At 39.4% G+C, this 20,451-nt stretch overlaps 1 protein-coding gene and 2 pseudogenes across 23 annotated transcripts in view; all 3 read left to right on the top strand.

Moving 5' to 3' along the window:
• Positions 1 to 20,451, top strand: part of ZNF807P (zinc finger protein 807, pseudogene) — a 135,468-nt pseudogene that overhangs the window by 45,160 nt on the left and 69,857 nt on the right. The window lies entirely within an intron of this gene.
• Positions 1 to 20,451, top strand: part of SCGB1B2P (secretoglobin family 1B member 2, pseudogene) — a 100,431-nt pseudogene that overhangs the window by 45,160 nt on the left and 34,820 nt on the right. The gene's annotated exons all lie outside the window — the stretch shown is intronic.
• Positions 1 to 20,451, top strand: part of SCGB2B2 (secretoglobin family 2B member 2) — a 91,631-nt gene that overhangs the window by 45,160 nt on the left and 26,020 nt on the right. The window lies entirely within an intron of this gene.

The raw sequence follows: 20,451 nt of genomic DNA, 5'->3' as shown, positions 1-20,451 counted from the left end.
CCTTTGCACCTTTCTTTAAAATTATTTGATCTTATATTTGTTGGTCTATTTCTGCACTTCCTTAATCTGTATTTTTGCTAATATTTTAAAGTCTTATTTAACATAATTTTACACTATGTCTTTAAATCAGGCAATGTATTCCTTTAACTTTGTACTTCTTTTCAAATTTTTTCTGTTTTTATTTTGTTTTGTTTTTGGCTTTTCTAAGTTCTTCGCATTTCCATATGAATTTTAGAATTTAGTTGTCATTTTCTAATAAAAGTATTGTGGATTTTGATTGGGATTGCATTGAATATATGTATATCAATTTGAAGAGAATTTTAACGTTAACAATATTGAGTGTTGTAACCCATAAACGTGGCATATCTCTCCCTTTATTTAGATCTTTAATTTTTCTCCGCAATCTTTTATAGTTTCAGTGTATATATCCTGCAAATCTTATATGTCTCAAGTATATGTTGTATGCTCTTGTAAAAAGTACTCTTAAATTTCAATTTTAAATTAGTCATTGTTAGTACATAGAAATACAATTTTTATAGAAATATTCATTATCTACCCTGTAAACCAGAGGTGTCCAATCTTTTGGCTTCCCTGGCCCACAGTGGAAGAAGAATAGTCTTGGGCCACAGATAAAATATACTAAGACTAACGATAGAATGATGAGCTAAAAAAAAAAAATTGTAAAAAAAAAAAACTCATAATGTTCTAAGAAAGTTTACAAATTTCTCTTTTTTTATTACACTTTAAGTTTTAGGGTACATGTGCACAACGTGCAGGTTTGTTACATATGTATACATGTGCCATGTTGGTGTGCTGCACCCGTTAACTCGTCATTTAACATTAGGTATATCTACTAATGCCATCCCTCCCCCCTCCCCCCACCCCACAACAGGCCCCGGTGTGTGATGTTCCCCTTCCTGTGTCCACGTGTTCTCATTGTTCAATTCCCACCTATGAGTGAGAACATACAGTGTTTGGTTTTTTGTCCTTGTGATAGTTTGCTGAGAATGATGGTTTCCAGCTTCATCCATGTCCCTACAAAGGACATGAACTCATCATTTTTTATGGCTGCATAGTATTCCATGGTGTATATGTGCCACATTTTCTTAATCCAGTCTATCATTATTGGACATTTGGGTTGGTTCCAAGTCTTTGCTATTGTGAATAGTGCCGCAATAAACATACGTGTGCATGTGTCTTTATAGCAGCATGATTTATAATCCTTTGGGTATATACCCAGTAATGCGATGGCTGGGTCAAATGGTAATACTAGTTCTAGATCCCTGAGGAATCGCCACACCGACTTCCACAATGGTTGAACTAGTTTACAGTCCCACCAACAGTGTAAAAGTGTTCCTATTTCTCCACATCCTCTCCAGCACCTGTTATTTCCTGGCTTTTTAATGATCGCCATTCTAACTGGCGTGAGATGGTATCTCATTGTTGTTTTGATTTGCATTTCTCTGATGGCCAGTGATGGTGAGCATTTTTTCATGTGTCTTTAGGCTGCATAAGTGTCTTTTTTTGAGAAGTGTCTGTTCATATCCTTCGCCCACTTGTTGATGGGGTTGTTTGTTTTTTTGTTGTAAATTTGTTTGGGTTCATTGTAAATTCTGGATATTAGCCCTTTGTCAGATGAGTAGATTGCAAAAATTTTCTCCCATTTTGTAGGTTGCCTGTTCACTCTGATGGTAGTTTCTTTTGCTGTGCAGAAGCTCTTTAGTTTAATTAGATCCCATTTGTCAATTTTGGCATTTGTTGCCATTGCTTTTGGTATTTTAGACATGAAGTCCTTGCCCATGCCTATGTCCTGAATGGTACTGCCTAGGTTTTCTTCTAGGGTTTTTATGGTTTTAGGTCTAAGGTTTAAGTCTTTAATCCATCTTGAATTAATTTTTGTTTAAGGTGTAAGGAAGGGATCCAGTTTCAGCTTTCTACATATGGCTAGCCAGTTTTCCCAGTACCATTTATTAAATAGGGAATCCTTTCCCCATTTCTTCTTTTTGTCAGGTTTGTCAAAGATCAGATAGTTGTAGATATGCAGCATTATTTCTGAGGGTTCTGTTATGTTCCATTGGTCTATATCTCTGTTTTGGTACCAGTACCTTGCTGTTTTGGTTATGTAGCCTTGTAGTATAGTTTGAAGTCAGGTAGCGTGATGCCTCCAGCTTTGTTCTTTTGGCTTAGGATTGACTTGGCAATGTGGGCTTTTCTTTGCTTCCACATGAACTTTAGTTTTTTCCAATTCTGTGAAGAAAGTCATTGGTAGCTTGATGGAGATGGCATTGAATCTATAAATTACCTTGGGCAATATGCCCATTTTCACGATATTGATTCTTCCTACCCATGAGCATGGAATGTTCTTCCATTTGTTTGTATCCTCTTTTATTTCATTGAGCAGTGGTTTGTAGTTCTCCTTGAAGAGGTCCTTCACATCCCTTGTAAGTTGGATTCCTAGGTATTTTATTTTCTTTGAAGCAATTGTGAATGGGAGTTCACTCACGATTTGGTTCTCTGTTTATCTGTTATTGGTGTATAGGAATGCTTGATTTTTGCACATTGATTTTGTATCCTGAGACTTTGCTGAAGTTGCTTATCAGCTTAAGGAGATTTTGGGCTGAGACGATGGGGTTTTCTAAATGTACAATCATGTCATCTGCAAACAGGGGCAATTTGACTTCCTCTTTTCCTAATTGAATACCCTTTATTTCTTTCTTCTGCCTGATTGCCCTGGCCAGAACTTCCAACACTATGTTGAATAGGGGTGGTGAGAGAGGGCATCCCTACCTTGTGCCAGTTTTCAAAGGGAATGCTTCCAGTTTTTGCCCATTCAGTATGATATTGGCTGTGGGTTTGTCATAAATAGCTCTTATTATTTTGAGATACATCCCATCAATACCTAGTTTATTGAGAGTTTTTAGCATGAAGAGCTGTTGAATTTTGTTGAAGGCCTTTTCTGCATCTATTGAGATAATCATGTGGTTTTTGTCTTTGGTTCTGTTTATATGATAGATTACGTTTATTGATTTGCATATGTTGAACCAGCCTTGCATCCCAGGGATGAAGCCAACTTGATTGTGGTGGATAAGCTTTTTGATGTGCTGCTGGATTCGGTTTGCCAGTATTTTATTGAGAACTTTTGCATCGATGTTCATCAACGATATTGGTCTAAAATTCTTTTTTTTGTTGTTGTGTCTCTGCCAGCCTTTGGTATCAGGATGATGCTGCCCTCATAAAATGAGTTAGAGAGGATTCCCTCTTTTTCTATTGATTGCAATAGTTTCAGAAGGAATGGTACTAGCTCCTCTTTGTACCTCTGGTAGAAATCAGCTGTGAATCTGTCTGGTCCTGGACTTTTTTTGGTTGGTAGGCTATTAGTGATTGCCTCAATTTCAGAGCCTGTTATTGGTCTATTCAGGGATTCAACTTCTTCCCGGTTTAGTCTTGGGAGGGTGTATGTGTCCAGGAATTTATCCATTTCTTCTAGATTTGCTAGTTTATTGTGTAGAGGTGTTTATAGTATTCTCTGATGGTAGTTTGTATTTCTGTGGGATCGGTGGTGATGTCTCCTTTATCATTTTTTGTTGCATCTATTTGATTCTTCTCTCTTTTCTTATTAGTCTTGCTAGCAGTCTATCAATTTTGTTGATCTTGTCAAAAAAACAGTTCCTGGATTCATTGATTTTTTGAAGAGTTTTTTTTTGTCTCTATCTTCTTCAGTTCTGCTCTGATCTTATTTATTCCTTGCCTTCTGCTACTTTTTGAATGTGTTTGCTCTTGCTTCTCCAGTTCTTTTAATTGTGATGTTAGGGTGTCAATTTTGATCTTTCCTGCTTTCTCTTGTGGGCATTTAGTGCTATAAATTTCCCTCTACACACTGCATTGAATGTGTCCCAGAGATTCTGGTATGTTGTGTCTTTGTTCTCGTTGGTTTCAAAGAACATCTTTATTTCTGCCTTCATTTTGTTATGTACCCAGTAGTCATTCAGGAGGAAGTTGTTCAGTTTCCATGTAGTTGAGCGGTTTTAAGTGAGGATCTTGATCCTGAGTTCTAGTTTGATTGCACTGTGGTCTGAGAGACAGTTTGTTATAATTTCTGTTCTTTTACATTTGCAGAGGAGTGCTTTACTTCCAATTATGTGGTCAATTTTGGAAGAAGTGCGATGTGGTGCTGAGAAGAATGTATATTCTGTTGATTTGGGGTGGAGAGTTCTGTAGATGTCTATTAGGTCCACTTGGTGCAGAGCGGAGTTGAATTCCTGGATATCCTTGTTAACTTTCTGTCTCGTTGATCTGTCTAATGTTGACAGTGGGATGTTTGTTAAAGTCTCCCATTATTATTGTATGGGAGTCCAAGTCTCTTTGTAGGTGTCTAAGGACTTGCTTTATGAATCTGGGTGCTCCTGTATTAGGTGCATATATATTTAGGATAGTTAGCTCTTCTTGTTGAATTGATCCCTTTACCATTATGTAATGGCCTTCTTTGTCTCTTTTGATCTTTGTTGGTTTAAAGTCTGTTTTATCCGAGACTAGGATTGCAACCCCTGCTTTTTTGTTTTGTTTTGTTTTCCATTTGCTTGGCGGATCTTCCTCCATCCCTTTATTTTGAGACTATGTGTGTCTCTGCACATGAGATGGGTCTCCTGAATACAGCACAATGATGGGTCTTGACTCTTTATCCAATTTGCCAGTCTGTGTCTTTTAACTGGAGCATTTAGCCCATTTACATTTAAGGTTAATATTGTTATGTGTGAATTTGACCCTGTCATTATGATGTTAGCTGGTTATTTTGATCATTAGTTGATGCAGTTTCTTCCTATCATTGATGGTCTTTACAATTTGGCGTGTTTTTGCAGTGGCTGGTACCAGTTGTTCCTTTCCATGTTTAGTGCTTCCTTCAGGAGCTCTTGTAGGGCAGGCCTGGTGGTGACAAAATCTCTCAGCATTTGCTTGTCTGTAAAGGATTTTATTTCTCCTTCACGTATGAAGGTTAGTTTGGCTGGATGTAAAATTCTGGGTTGAAAATTCTTTTCTTTAGGAATGTTGAATATTGGCCCCCACTCTCTTTTGGCATGTAGAGTTTCTGCGGAGAGATTAGCTGTTAGTCTGATGGGCTTCCCCTTGTGGGTAACCCGACCTTTCTCTCTGGCTACCCTTAACATTTTTTCCTTCATTTCAACTTTGGTGAATCTGACAATTATGTGTCTTGGAGTTGCTCTTCTCGAGGAGTATCTTTGTGGTATTCTCTGTGTTTCCTGAGTTTGAATGTTGGCCTGCCTTGCTAGATTGGGGAAGTTCTCCTGGATAATATCCTGCAGATTGTTTTCCAACTTGGTTCCATTCTCCCCATCACTTTCAGGTACACCAATCAGACATAGATTTGGTCTTTTCACATGGTCCCATATTTCTTGGAGGCTTTGTTCGTTTCTTTTTATTCTTTTTTCTCTAAACTTCTCTTCTCATTTCATTTCATTTATTTGATCTTCTGTCACTGATACCCTTTCTTCCAGTTGATCGAATCGGCTACTGAGGCTTGTGCTTTCATCATGTAGTTCTCATGCCGTGGTTTTCAGCTCCATCAGGTCCTTTAAGGACTTCTCTGCATTGATTATTCTAGTTAGCCACTCGTCTAATTTTTTTTCAAGGTTTTTAACTACTTTGCCATGGGTTCGAACTTCCTCCTTTAGTTCAGAGTAGTTTGATCGTCTGAAGCCTTCTTCTCTCAACTCGTCAAAGTCACTCTCCGTCCATCTTTGTTCCGTTGCTGGAGAGGAGCTTCATTCCTTTGGAGGAGGAGAGGCACTCTGATTTTTAGAGTTTCCAGTTTTTCTGCTCTGTTTTTTCCCCATCTTTGTGGTTTTATCTACCTTTGGTCTTTGATGATGGTGACGTACAGATGGGGTTTTGGTGTGGATGTCTTTGTTTTCCTTCTAACAGTCAGGACCCTCAGCTGCAGGTCTGTTGGAGTTTGCTGGAGGTCCACTCCAGACCCTGTTTGCCTGGGTATCAGCAGCGGAGGCTGCAGAACAGCGGATATGGGTGAAAAGCAAATGTTGCTGCCTGATCGTTCCTCTGAAAGTTTTGTCTCAGAGGAGTACCCGGCTGTGTGAGGTGTCAGACTGCCCCTACTGGTGGGTGCCTCCCATTTAGGCTACTCGGGGGTCAGGGACCCACTTGAGGAGGCAGTCTGTCCGTTCTCAGATCTCAAGCTGTGTGCTGGGAGAACCACTACTCTCTTCAAAGCTGTCAGACAGGGACATTTAAGTCTGCAGAGGTTTCTGCTGCCTTTTGTTTGGATATGCCCTGCCCCTAGAGGTGGAGTCTACATAGGCAAGCAGGCCTCCTTGAGCTGTGTTGGGCTCCACCCAGTTCGAGCTTCCTGGCTGCTTTGTTTACCTACTCAAGCCTTGGCAATGGCAGGCGCCCCTCCCCCAGCCTCATTGCTGCCTTGCAGTTTGATCTCAGACTGCTGTGCTAGCAATGAGCGAGGCTCCGTGGTTGTAGGACCCTCCGAGCCATGCATGGGATATAATCTCCTGGTGTGCAGTTTGCTAAGACCATTGGAAAAGTGCAGTATTAGGGTGGGAGTGACCCGATTTTCCATGTGCCGTCTGTCACCCCTTTCTTTGACTAGGAAAGGGAATTCCCTGACCCCTTGTGCTTCCCGGATGAGATGATGCCTCGCCCTGCTTCGTCTCACACTCGGTGCGCTGCACCCACTGTCCTGCACCCACTATCCAACACTCCACAGTGAGATGAACCCGGTACCTCAGTTGGAAATGCAGAAATCAGCCGTCTTCTGCATCACTCACGCTGGGAGCTGTAGACTGTAACTGTTCTTATTCGGCCATCTTGGCTCCACCTCACTTCTTTTATAATATTAAGGGTTTTGCTGCAAACTGCAGAAATGTTACTCAGTAGAATAAGCAGATAATACTCTGAGTAATACCTCAGATAACAAGAATGCAACACTGGTGCATTGGCCAGGAAAGGAAACATCAGAAAGATGAGTAGGAGAGGACCTCCAACACTGTACTTTCATTTCCAAGGCTCCTTATCCTCTGTTTTTTTCTTGTAAGATCAAACAAAACACTGGGCCCCTGTCAGCCTATTAAAAGCTTCTAGAGTGGCTGCCAGCCTTACAAGATTCAGGGGACAGGCTTGATGGAGAGGACTTTATCAATCCCCCATCACTCTTGGGTGTTGGGAATGTTGGCTCTGTTCCAACCTAGCTCCCTTTCACAGAAGATCTAGCCATCATGTGGGGCTGGAAGAAGGTCCTGGGGCAACTGAAGGCATCTGGCGGAGGCTGCACCTTGGTGTTACCTGAAGACTCCTGGACTAACTCCAGTCCCCAACAGCCCACCAGGACTTCCAGACTTTCCTATCACATTTTCTTCCTTTCTTTTCTTTTTTGCAGCTCTCATGTCTCCTATCCCTTCTTTGTATGCTATGTTGAGGGAGTTTTTACAGCCTGGGGAGATAACCTTGTTGGGTAAAGTTAGCAAGTGCCTTAGTAACCAGGAATGTAACTCTAAGAATTGCTGCTTCTGTGATTTCCTTGAGATGGGGGGATTTCAAGATTTCAACTAAACTTTCAACTAAACTAAACTAAACTGAACTAAACTTTCACCTAGTAAGGGCTTTTTTGTTCCCCAATGATAGTCATTCATGGCACTCTATAGGAGGATATTTCAACCTGAGTGAATACCCTCCTCTCCATTTGGGTTGTTTTATTCCTCCACATAAAAGCTCAGCACTGCCAGTGAATTTAAACAGTTCCTCCATGAGACAAATTGTATTTTTGCTGGGAGGCATATTGTGGGGACAGCCCACCAAGCCCCACACCTCTCTGCCTAGAAAGAATTTGGAGTCACAGTTTTTACCTAACATTTCAGTTATTGCCACAACACCTAGCAAAATAGGATTTTTCTGTGTTGGGGGGCCATATTGACCCTTTTCCCAAAACCTCTAGTTCCCCAACTCTTTTTCCTCCTGCATCCCTCTATAAGTGATCAGACCTCATGCCCTATTTGTAGGCAGGAAAACTCCACTTTCAATAGTCAGGAGGAAGCTGCCCTTGAGAGACAAATTCTAGGCTCAGTACTGTCCTCATCGAAGGTAGGACAGCCATTTAATCCTTATATTTTTTGAGGCACCTGTCCTAAACACAACTACATTGGCATTTAAACAAAAGAGGATTTTATGCTTAGAAGTCAATTGGTCCCATTCTCTGGGAAATCAGGGCTTTGCTAGGGCCACAGTAAGAGAAGCCAGGGACAGAGTCAAGACACTCCTTCCATTAAATGGTCTTACTCAAATCCAACTACTGCACAATCCCTCCTGGGCCCCTGGGGTACCATGGGAGCCTTTTAGGTCGAGTAGGTCTGGGATACCCAGAGATAGGTAGAGAGCTAGGGAATCTCACAGGTAAACATGACTACTCCTGCTGACTAGCTCCTCTGGATCCATGGGTGGTAATGCTTGCATCCATGGGCAGCACAATTGATGGCCACCAGGACCCAGAGGAGATGGGAGGAAAGAGGAGAAGGAGGACGCCCTTTCTACCTTTCTCTGTACCCTGGGTCACTCCAAAAGGAGGAAGTGGACTAAGGTATGCCTTTTCTCCCCTCTCTTTCCAGATACTTAACAACCCATCTTCAAGCCTGCACTTTCCTCGAGTGCAGCCTGGATCTCTTTTAATCGTCAGACCCTGAAGTTTGCTTTAGGAAAGTCCCAACTTCACTCACATATAGAGTATTTAAACTCTGCTGGAAGGATGTTAGGTTACTCTTAAATCAAACCCTAACTGCTGCTGAGAAACAGTTGGCCCTGTAGGCAGCAAAGAAATTTGGAGATGAACTTTGTGTCTCATACAGTGCCAGGGAAGGGGAAGAGCCTTATCCAATTGGGAGAGTAATAGTGCCCTTAAAGGACCCTAAATGTGACCATAATAATAGCATTGGTGAGTGGAGAAGAAAACTCTTTCAAATGCGTATATTGGAGAAGCCACAAAGGACTATAGCCAAACCTATTAACTACTACAAGCTTTCCATAATAGATAATAAAAAAAAAAAAAAACCTAGATGAAAACCCCTCAGCCTTTTTGGAAAGGCTGAGAGAAGCTTTAGTGAAACACACCTTTCTATCTCTCATTTCAATTGAAGGACAGCTAATCTTAAAGGACAAGTTTATTACTCAGGCAGCCCCTAATATCTGAAGGAAGTTGCAAAAACAGGCCGTGTCCAAAGATCTCTCTGATTTTTCTCACCCTCAGGTTGAAGCTTTGCAGTATGTAGATGACATTCTCCTCTGTGCCCCAACTGAGAAAGTCTCAGGAAGACACTGAGGCTCTCCTCAATTTTTTAGCTGAAAGGGGATATAGGGTTTCAAAATTTAAGGCTCAGCTCTTTCAAACTTCAGTAAAGTACCTATATCTAGTCCTGTCAGAAGGAACAAGAGCACTAGGTAAGGAAATGATTAAGCCCATTTCCTCTTTGCCCTTCCCAAAATGCTTAAACATCTGAAGGGATTCTTAGGCATTATTGAATTTTGCAAACTAGGAATACCCAGGTACAGTGAGATAACTCGCCCTTTATACCACCTCATAAAAGAAATGCAAGCAGCTAAAACTCAGTCCCTGACTTGGGAACCTGGGGCTCAAAAAGGCTTTAACCAGTTAAAACAAGCCTTGCTTAAAGCACCAGCCCTTAGTCTTCCCATAGGAAAGACATTCAGTCTCTATGTAGCAAAAAGGAAGAGAATGGCCCTGGGAGTTTTAACTCAGGCTCAAGGTCCAGCTCAACAGCCAGTAGGTTACCTAAGCAAGGAGCTTGAGTTGATGGCTAAAGTACGGCCAGCTTGCCTCTGAGCAGTTACAGCAGTGGCTTTACTGGTGTCAGTGGCCACCAAGTTAACCATGAGGAATGACTTAACTGTATATAACCCACATAATGCGGCAGAACTGCTGTCTTCTAAGAGAAGTCCCTGGCCAACAGATAATCACCTCCTCAAAGATCAGGCTCTGCTGTTAGAGGAATCTACAGTCCAGTTAAAAAAACCTGTCCTTGCCTGAACCCAGACACTTTCCTCCCAGAGGAAACTGAAGAACCTGAATATGGCTTTGAACAGTCATGCAAACCTATGCAGCCAAGGAGGACCTCAAAGAAACTCCCCTAGAAAACCCAGAAGCCAGACATGCTGGTAAAAGGATAAAAGTTTTTTTACAGTCAGACTTTTGGCCTCTCTGTCCCTGTGCAAACCAGTGAAAGGAATGATAAGAATCATTGTTTATATTCCCTGTAAAGTTTTAATTAATGAAAAAGGATATTCTTAAAGAATGCTCAGCTTAATTAAAAGAGGATATCCAAGTTATAGATATATTTAAAAGATTTTTATGTTTTTCTCTCCTTGGATCTTGTTTTTCTGAAAAGGTTTTTTTTTTTCTCAGTTGACTAAATTACTTTTCTCCACTTTGTCTTGCCAGTCAGTGCATGTATGAAAGGCCCTAGATAGCTTCTGATGGCCTGGGACTCCTTGGGGAAAAAAAAAAAATGCCAAGGATTCCATTTTGTGAGACATCTCTCTTTTCCTCATGAAACCCCAAGAATTAGAGGTGAATATAACCCACTCAAAATCTCTTTTTGCCTTTCAGGTATGCCTGTTTATTAGGCCCTAGAAACTGTATGCTTTCCTAGCCCTGTTCTTAAAGAGCTCCACCCTGAGGCCAATAATCCAATTAGAAAATTGACGAACAAAAAAACCTTACAACTGCTGGGTTTTCTTCTGTCTGTGTAGTCATATATATGTTATGTGTGTAATGGTTATACAAAAAAAGTTATAATTAACTGGCTTTAAAAATAAGCACTTAGATAAAATATTTTTTGAAGGAAAAATAAAAGCTGTAATGCCTTTTACTTCATGCGACTTTAATCTTTCAGGAATAGGAACACTATTTAAGGATTATAAATAAGGAATAGGAACATTCTCTTTTTTTTGCATATAGCTTGAATTTATTTTGAAAGTTTTCCCAGTATACATTCTCATAAACATAATTACTGATTTCAAGTATTGGAACATTCTCTTTTTTTGCATATAGATTGAATTTATTTTGAAAGTTTTCCCAGTATACATTCTCATAATTACTGATTTCAAGTATTTTTGTAACTTTTGACATTATTGCCAAATGGTGTGATGTTAATACTATAAGATTTGCCCCATCTCCATCGCTGCTGGAACATCTCATGGCCCCAATTTCACTGCCAACTCATTGGAACTATGAATTATAATTTAAATGCTTTTTCCTAGGCAGAAAATTCATCTGACTTTTTAAAATATATACTTTAAGTTCTAGGGTACATGTGCACAACGTGCAGGTTTGTTACATATGTATACATGTTCCATGTTGGTGTGCTGCACCCATTAACTTGTCATTTACATTAGGTATATCTCCTAATGCAATCCCTCCCCCCTCCCCCCACCCTGGTGTGTGATGTACCCCACCCTATGTCCAAGTGTTCTCATTGTTCAATTCCCACCTATGAGTGAGAACATGCAGTGTTTGGTTTTCTGTCCTTGCAATAGTTTGCTCAGAATGATGGTTTCCAGCTTCATCCATGTCCCTACAAAGGACATGAACTCATCCTTTTTTATGGCTGCATAATATTCCATGGTGTATATGTGCCACATTTTCTTAATCTAGTCTATCATTGATGGACATTTGGGTTGGTTCCAAGTCTTTGCTATTGTGAATAGTGCCACAATAAACATATGTGTACATGTGTCTTTATAGTAAAGTGATTTATAATTCTTTGGGTATATACCTGGGTCATTTCCAATTAAGAAAAGATTATTATATTGAGAACACGTTCCAAAATTGTAGAATGGTGCTCATCTATAAAATGCTAGTATCTGATAGGCAATTTAGGATTTCTTGCTTCCTGGGTTTACATAAAATGTGCCAAGGAAAATGTGTTCTATTTTTTTTTAAAAAAGAATAATTTTATCTAATTCAAAAGTTATCTAAAAGTTAATTCCAGTTGTGCACTTGAAAAGGTTATTCATCCAAGTAACTTTCTGTATTGCCTTTAAAGCCCTGTGCAGTTGAGTTACAAAGCTTTGATTCTTGGGTCTAAAAAAGGGACATTATTATGTTAATTCTCACCTTAATTCTCTTGAATAGTTAAAATCCTTTGCAACTTCAAAAATAACTGCTCAAGATTCCTTTCAGGAAAAGCAATTTCAGTCACCTTGTGCTCAGTAGTTAAGGTTTTTGTCTTTTCATGCTGGTGGCCTGGGTTCAATTCCTGGCTTAGGGAATCAGTCTTTTCTGATTTTATGTGTGTTTGACTTTTTGCCATTTATTGCTTCCTTTCCTCTTTGTGGACAGCTTCTGATTTCGTGTCTTGAAATTTTCTTTTTCCTGAACTACCTTTGGGGAGATTCTACATCTCATAAAAATTGCTTGCCGTCTCTTTGCCCATCGCTTGCCATCTCTTTGGAGACACTTCATGCATCCAAGGTTACCATCCTCTTAGTTAAGACTTACTGATTTCATGTAGAAGGTTGCCTTTAGTAAAAAAAATTCAAAAGCCAGAAATATTGGCCCTTTGTCTTGGCTAAAAGCTGGTAATAAAAGATTTTTAAAGAATCTTAAGATCTCTATACTTAAAAGTTGACTTAATTAAAGCTGATATTTGGCCTATATATGCGTGAATATTGTTTTAAAGCCCCCACTCTCCCTCTAAAGATTTCTTTATTGATGAAATTCTGTCTTGGATCTCCGTTTTTGTCTGTGTATTATGTGTGTTACGTGTGTGGTGTAAAAGAGCTGTAATTAATTGTCCTAAATATAAGCACTTAAACATATTGTCAGAAAAAAATAGAAACTTTAATGGATTTAGGTCATGGGACTCTAATTTCTTTAAAAAAGACAATGTAAAAGATTATTGGTAAAATAAAATAAATATATTCAAAATTTAGACATTTGGTCTAAAGTAGGCAGGCTGAACCTGTTTGCCATGTGTTTTAAGGCCATAAACTGCTTCTATGACTTTAAATAATTGTTTGACTTGTCTGTTTTATAGCCATTAGATTTTAGGTAAGGCTTAGGCCAGGTCCCCTGGCTAAGTTTGGGAGAGTTGGACACTATCTGCAGCTCTATCCTCATCCTGAGATCTGCAATCTGATACATGGTTAAAATTGCTTGTTTACCATCTTTTCCACCAAAAATAAGAGTTGCTAAAAGTTAATATTATAACATGTGCTTGAAACTACTGAAGAAAGAGTTTCACATGCAGGGTGTGTAAGGAAGGTAAAGTGTGATTTTGGTAAAAGGTGATAAAAGGTATGGGAGTATGACTTTTGTTAAAAAGATGTAATTTTGTCTAGTTCAGCAGTTTTTAAGGATTGTCCTAACCTAAAAGAGTAATGGGGGAAAAAAACTAAAGGTTCAAGCAAGTTGTGAAGAATTTGTGAAGCATTAATCTTGTGAAGGAAAGTCTGCGGGTATGAGAAAGTTGGCTAAGATTTGAAGGGCATTATTTAATTTCTCTGTAGGTTAAACAATAAAATAAAAGCACACTGATACAGGGCCAGAATCTGGGCCCATGTATTTGAGTAACAGGTTTTTCTTATAGAATTAATCTGCTGTTCAACAGAAAATTGTAAAGGGTTGTAAAAGGTTTATAAAAAGTTTGCATTATGGTCAAACTAGTTAAGATTGGATAGATTTCTTTATAAGCTTTTATTAAGAATTGGATTTAACCATTCAAACCCAGCAATCCCATTACTGGGTATAAATCCAAAGGGCTATAAATCATTCTACCATAAAGACACATGCGGGGGAGGAGCCAAGATGGCCGAGTAGGAACAGCTCCGGTCTACAGCTCCCAGCGTGAGTGATGCAGAAGACGAGTGATTTCTGCATTTCCATCTGAGGTACCGGGTTCATCTCACTAGGGAGTGCCAGACAGTGGGCACAGGTCAGTGGGTGCACGCACCGTGCACGAGCCGAAGCAGGGCGAGGCATTGCCTCACTCGGGAAGCGCAAGGGGTCAGGGAGTTCCCTTTCCTAGTCAAAGAAAGGGGTGACAGACGGCACCTGGAAAATCGGGTCACTCCCACCCGAATACTGCGCTTTTCCAACGATTTCAAAATAATAAGAGCTATCTATGACAAACCCACAGCCAATATCATACTGAATGGGCAAAAACTGGAAGCATTCCCTTTGAAAACTGGCACAAGACAGGGATGTCCTCTCTCACCACTCCTATTCAACATAGTGTTGGAAGTTCTAGCCAGGGCAATGAGGCAGAAGAACGAAATAAAGGGTATTCAGTTAGGAAAAGAGGAAGTCAAATTGTCCCTGTTTGCAGATGACATGATTGTATATCTTGAAAACCCCATTGTCTCAGCCCAAAATCTCCTTAAGCTGATAAGCAACTTCAGCAAAGTCTCAGGATACAAAATCAATGTACAAAAATCACAAGCATTCTTATACACCAACAACAGACAAACAGAGAGCCAAATCATGAGTGAACTCCCATTCACAATTGCTTCAAAGAGAATAAAATACCTAGGAATCCAACTTACAAGGGATGTGAAGGACCTCTTTAAGGAGAACTACAAACCACTGCTCAATGAAATAAAAGAGGATACAAACAAATGGAAGAACATTCCATGCTCATGGGTAGGAAGAATCAATGTCGTGAAAATGGCCATACTGCCCAAGGTAATTTACAGATTCAATGCCATCCTCATCAAGCTACCAATGACTTTCTTCAAAGAATTGGAAAAAACTACTTTAAAGTTCATATGGAAGCAAAAAAGAGCCCACATCGCCAAGTCAATCCTAAGCCAAAAGAACAAAGCTGGAGGCATCACACTACCTGACTTCAAACTATACTGCAAGGCTACATAACCAAAACAGCATGGTACTGGTACCAAAACAGAGATATAGATCAATGGAACAGAACAGAGCCCTCAGAAATAATGCCGCATATCTACAACTATCTGATCTTTGACAAAACTAAGAAAAACAAGCAATGGGGAAAGGATTCCCTGTTTAATAAATGGTGCTGGGAAAACTGGCTAGCCATATGTAGAAAGCTGAAACTGGATCCCTTCCTTACACCTTATACAAAAATTAATTCAAGATGGATTAAAGACTTAAACCTTAGACCTAAAACCATAAAAACCCTAGAAGAAAACCTAGGCAATACCATTCAGGACATAGGCATGGGCAAGGACTTCATGTCTAAAACACCAAAAGCAATGGCAACAAAAGCCAAAATTGACAAATGGGATCTAATTAAACTAAAGAGCTTCTGCACAGCAAAAGAAACTACCATCACAGTGAACAGGCAACCTACAAAATGGGAGAAAATTTTCGCAACCTACTCATCTGACAAAGGGCTAATATCCAGAATCTACAATGAACTCAAACAAATTTACAAGAAAAAAACAACCCCATCAAAAAGTGGGCGAAGGACATGAACAGACACTTCTCAAAAGAAGACATTTATGCAGCCAAAAAACACATGAAAAAATGCTCACCATCACTGGCCATCAGAGAAATGCAAATCAAAACCACAATGAGATACCATCTCACACCAGTTAGAATGGCGATCATTAAAAAGTCAGGAAACAACAGGTGCTGGAGAGGATGTGGAGAAATAGGAACACTTTTACCCTGTCGGTGGGACTGTAAACTAGTTCAACCATTGTGTAAGTCAGTGTGGCCATTCCTCAGGGATCTAGAACTAGAAATACCATTTGACCCAGTGATCCCTTTACTGGGTATATACCCAAAGGACTATAAATTATGCTGCTATAAAGACACATGCACACGTATGTTTATTGCAGCACTATTCACAATAGCAAAGACTTGGAACCAACCCAAATGTCCAACAATGATAGACTGGATTAAGAAAATGTGGCACATATACACCATGGAATACTATGCAGCCATAAAAAATGATGAGTTCATGTCCTTTATAGGGACATGGATGAAATTGGAAATCATCATTCTCAGTAAACTATTGCAAGAACAAAAAACCAAACACCACGTATTCTCACTCATAGGTGGGAATTGAACAATGAGAACACATGGACACAGGAAGGGGAACATCACACTCTGGGGACTGTTGTGGGGTGGGGGGAGGGATAGCATTGGGAGATATACCTAATGCTAGATGACGAGTTAGTGGGTGCAGCACACCAGCATGGCACATGTATACATATGTAACCAATCTATTTTAAACTCTTCCAAAAATAGAAGTAGAGAGAATACTTTCAAACACATTTTATGAAGCCACCATTACCATGATTGATACCAAATCCACACAAAAGACACTACAAGAAAATAAAATTACAGGAGTAACATCAGCAACATGGCAGACTAGAAGCTCTTATTGCTTCTAACCCCCAAAGACAGTATGAATATGAATAAACAACTACATACTTGAAGGAGAGTACAGGAATGCATCAGAAAAGTCACAGAAACTCTAATGAGCACAGAAACTCAGGATGCCTACATTGAGAATGAAAAAAAAAAAAAAATGCTGGACCTCCACTGTCCCATCCCCTACACATGATCAGCTGAGAATTAGAAGGAACTTCTCCTAATTCAGTGAGAAGGTAAACCAGAGGATCCCAATAACCCCCATCAACATATTGGACACCCACAGACCTCACCACTGGAGTATTTTAGACACTAAGCCTGACTGAGGAAGCTGCCTAGAGTCCATATATATATATGGCTGTGTTCCTTCCAGAGAAGAAGCCCACCCTGTGTCCTGCTCCCTGTGGCCCATACAGCTATTGCACTGTGCCATCTCACATTTAGAACTATGACTGGAGTGCATCTTGTTCTGGGGGCTAATAGCCACAGATCCCCTTCATGCCAGAGGTTAAGCCACTGTTGAAGCACTCCAGCCCAGTGGCCTAACATCCCCAAGCTGAGCTTTGAGCAGCTGTTACACCCTTCCCCTGTGGTGCTGAGCAGAAAAATAAGAATTGGAAGGCCCCCAAAGCCTTGACCAATGATGCTAACAACCTAAGCAACCACTGTCACAAACATCTGCAGTCTAGGCCATGGGGTCACTCATAGTTATTGATAACATTCAACACAGATAAGGAAACTACATGTAGACCATACCACTATACTAATTTGGAAACAGTCACCAATTTCTTGCCAACTGGCACAAGAATATCCAACTGGAGGGGAAAGTCTTACTTTATGAAAGCAACTCTAAAAAGTTTGAAAGAAGCAATTGTTCCACCAGATGTACAGATAACACTGAAGTGCCAAAAGAAACATTTAAAAGCAAGGAAATATGACATTACCAAAAGAACATAATAACTTGCTGGTAAAAGACATCAATGAAAAGGAAATAAATGACCTATGGAAAAGGAATTCAAACTACTAATCTTAAGGAAACTCGACAAGATAAAAGAAAATACAGACACAATTCAATAAAATCAGATAAACTTTATGATATGAATCAGAAATTCAATAGCGATAGGAATAATAATTAAAAAACAGAAATCCTGCAACTGAAGAATTCAATGAATGAAATTTAAAAAATAAAATGGACAGTGTCAATAGCAGACTTGATCGAGCAGAAGAAAGAATCTCTGAACTTAAATATAGGTCACTTAAAATTACCCAATTACAGAAAAATTAAGATATAAGAGTGAAAAACAGTGAAAAAAAAAGTTATAAAACTTATGCAACACCACTAGGTGAATAAATGTTGGAACTCAGAAGTCCCAGAAGGAAAAGAGAAGAGAAAAGGCATAGAAAACTGACTTAATGAAATAATTGCAAAAAAATCTCAAGTCTGGAGAGAGAATGGACATCTAGATCCAAGGCCCCAAAAAAGATTCAGCTGAAAGTTCCTCCCAGTGGCACATTACAGTCAAATTATCAAAAGTCAAAGAAGGAGGGAGAATTCTAAAAACAGCAAAAGCGTCAAGTCACATATAAAGAAATTGCCAGTAGACCAATAGCAATTTTCTTCACAGAAACTTTACAGGCCAGGAGAGTATGGGATAATATATTCAAAGTGCTGACAGAAAAAACTTGTCCAGCAAGAATACTATACAGAGCAAAGCTATGCTTCAGAAATGAGAGAGTAATAACATTTTTTCCACAAAAGAAACTCTAAGGACATTAAACACCATCAGACAGGCTTAAAAAGAAATACTCAAAGAAGTACTACATCTGGAGGCAAAAAGATAATAATCACTATCATGAAAACACACAAAAGTGTAAAACTTATGGGTGGGGCAGATACATAAAGGAGAAAAAGAAAGGAATCAAAGGTTATCACTACAGAAATCCACCAAAGTGCAATGACAAACAATGACAGAGGAAGAAAACAACAAAGGATATACACAACACTCAGAAAACAGTTAACAAAATCACAAGAATATGTCCTCACTTATCAATAACTCTGAGTGAAAACAGACTAAATTCCCCACTTAAAAGATAGAAACTGTCTGAATTGATATTTTTTAAATGACTCAAAAATATGCTGCTTACAAGAAACTCACTTCACCTATAAAGATATATACCAATTGAAAATGAAGAGATGATGGCCAGGCCCAATGGCTCACACCTGTAATCCCAGCACTTTGGGAGGCCAAGGGGGACAGATCACTTGAGGTCAGGAGTTTTGAGACCAGCTGGGCCAACATGGTGAAACCCATCTCTACTGAATATACAAAAATTAGCTGGGCATGGTGGCATGTGCCTGTTGTCCCAGCTGCTCAGGAGGCTAAGGCAGGAGAATCACTTGAACCCAGGAGGTGGAGGTTGCAGTGAGCCAAGAATGCACCGCTGCACTCCACCCTGGGCAACAAAGTGAAACTCCATCTCAAAAAAAAAAAAAAGAAAAGAAAATGAAGAGATGGAAAAAATATTCCACACAAATGAAAATCAAAAGCAATCAGGAGTCAGTATGCTTATATCTGATAATGTAGATTTTAACATAAAACTATAAGAGACAAAGAAGGTCATTCATAATGATAAAAGGATAAATGACTCCATGACAAAGGATCATTAATAAGGGCTCAAGTGATACGGGATCAAATGGTAAAAGATCAATCAATATACCAAGAGGGTATGACAATTCTAAATACATATGCACCCAACACTGGAACACAAAGAAATATAAAACCAATATTATTAGATTTAAGGAGAGAGATAGACTCCAATACAATTACAGTTGGGGAGCTTCAACACCCCACTCTCAGCAGTGAACAGGTCATCTACACAGAAAATTGACAAAGAAACGTTGGATTTATGCTGCACGTTAGATCAAACAAATCTAACAGACATTTACAGACTATTTCATCCAACAACTGTAAAATATAAATTCCTTTCATAAGACCATTTAAAAAAGAATGAATAAGGTTTAGTATTTGATAGCACAACAGAGTGACAGTAGTGAATAATAATTTAATTCTACATTTTTAAATGATGAAAAGAATATGATTGGGTTATTTGTAACACAAAGGATAAATGCTTCAGGTGATAGATATTCCATTTACCCTAATGTGATTATTACATATTGAATGCATGCATCCAATATCATATCAAGTATCTATTCTGTGTACAATAAAATAACACTACAAATCAATAACAAGATAAATTTTCAGCCAGGCACAGTGGCTCATGCCTGTAATCCCAGCACTTTGAGAGGCCAAGGTGGGCGGATCACGATGTCAGGAGATCAAGACCATCCTGGCCAACATAGTGAAACCCGGTCTCTACTGAAATACAAAAAATTAGCCAGGTGTGGTGGTGCATGCCTGTAGGCCCAGCTACTTGGGAGGCTGAGGCAGGGGAAATCACTTGAATCCAGGAGGCGGATATTGCAGTGAGCTAAGATCATGCTACTGCACTCCAGCCTGGCAACAGAGTGAGACTATCCTAAAAAAAAAAAAAAAAAAAAAAAAAAAAAAAAAAAAGAATTTTCTAAAACACAAATATATGAAAATTCAACAATGAGTTAATAAAGAAATTAAGAAGTAAATTTTGGGCCAGGCACATTGGCTCATGCCTGTAATCCCAGCACTTTGGGAGGCCAAGGCAGGTGGATCACGAGGTCAGGAGTTCAAGACCAGCCTAGCCCAATATAGTGAAACCCAGTCTCTACTAAAAATACAAAAAAAAATTAGCCAGGTGTGGTAGCAGGCACCTGTAATCCCAGCTACTAGGGAAGCTGAGGCAGGAGAATCCTTTGAACCCAGGAGGCGGAGGTTGCAGTGAGCCAAGATCGTGCCACTGCACTCCAGCCTGGGCAACACTGCGAGACTTCATCCCAAAAAAAAAAAAAATAGTAAATTTTAAAATTTATTGAAACAAATTAAAATAGAAATGCAACATACAAAAGCCTGGGGGATGCAGCAGAAGCTATATAAACAAGAAATTTTGATGATAAA

The sequence above is a fragment of the Homo sapiens genome, chromosome 19 (assembly GCF_000001405.40).
Source record: "Homo sapiens chromosome 19, GRCh38.p14 Primary Assembly".
NCBI lineage: Eukaryota > Metazoa > Chordata > Mammalia > Primates > Hominidae > Homo > Homo sapiens.
Note: the sequence above shows the minus strand (reverse complement) of the source record. Positions and strands in the feature narration are given on the sequence as shown.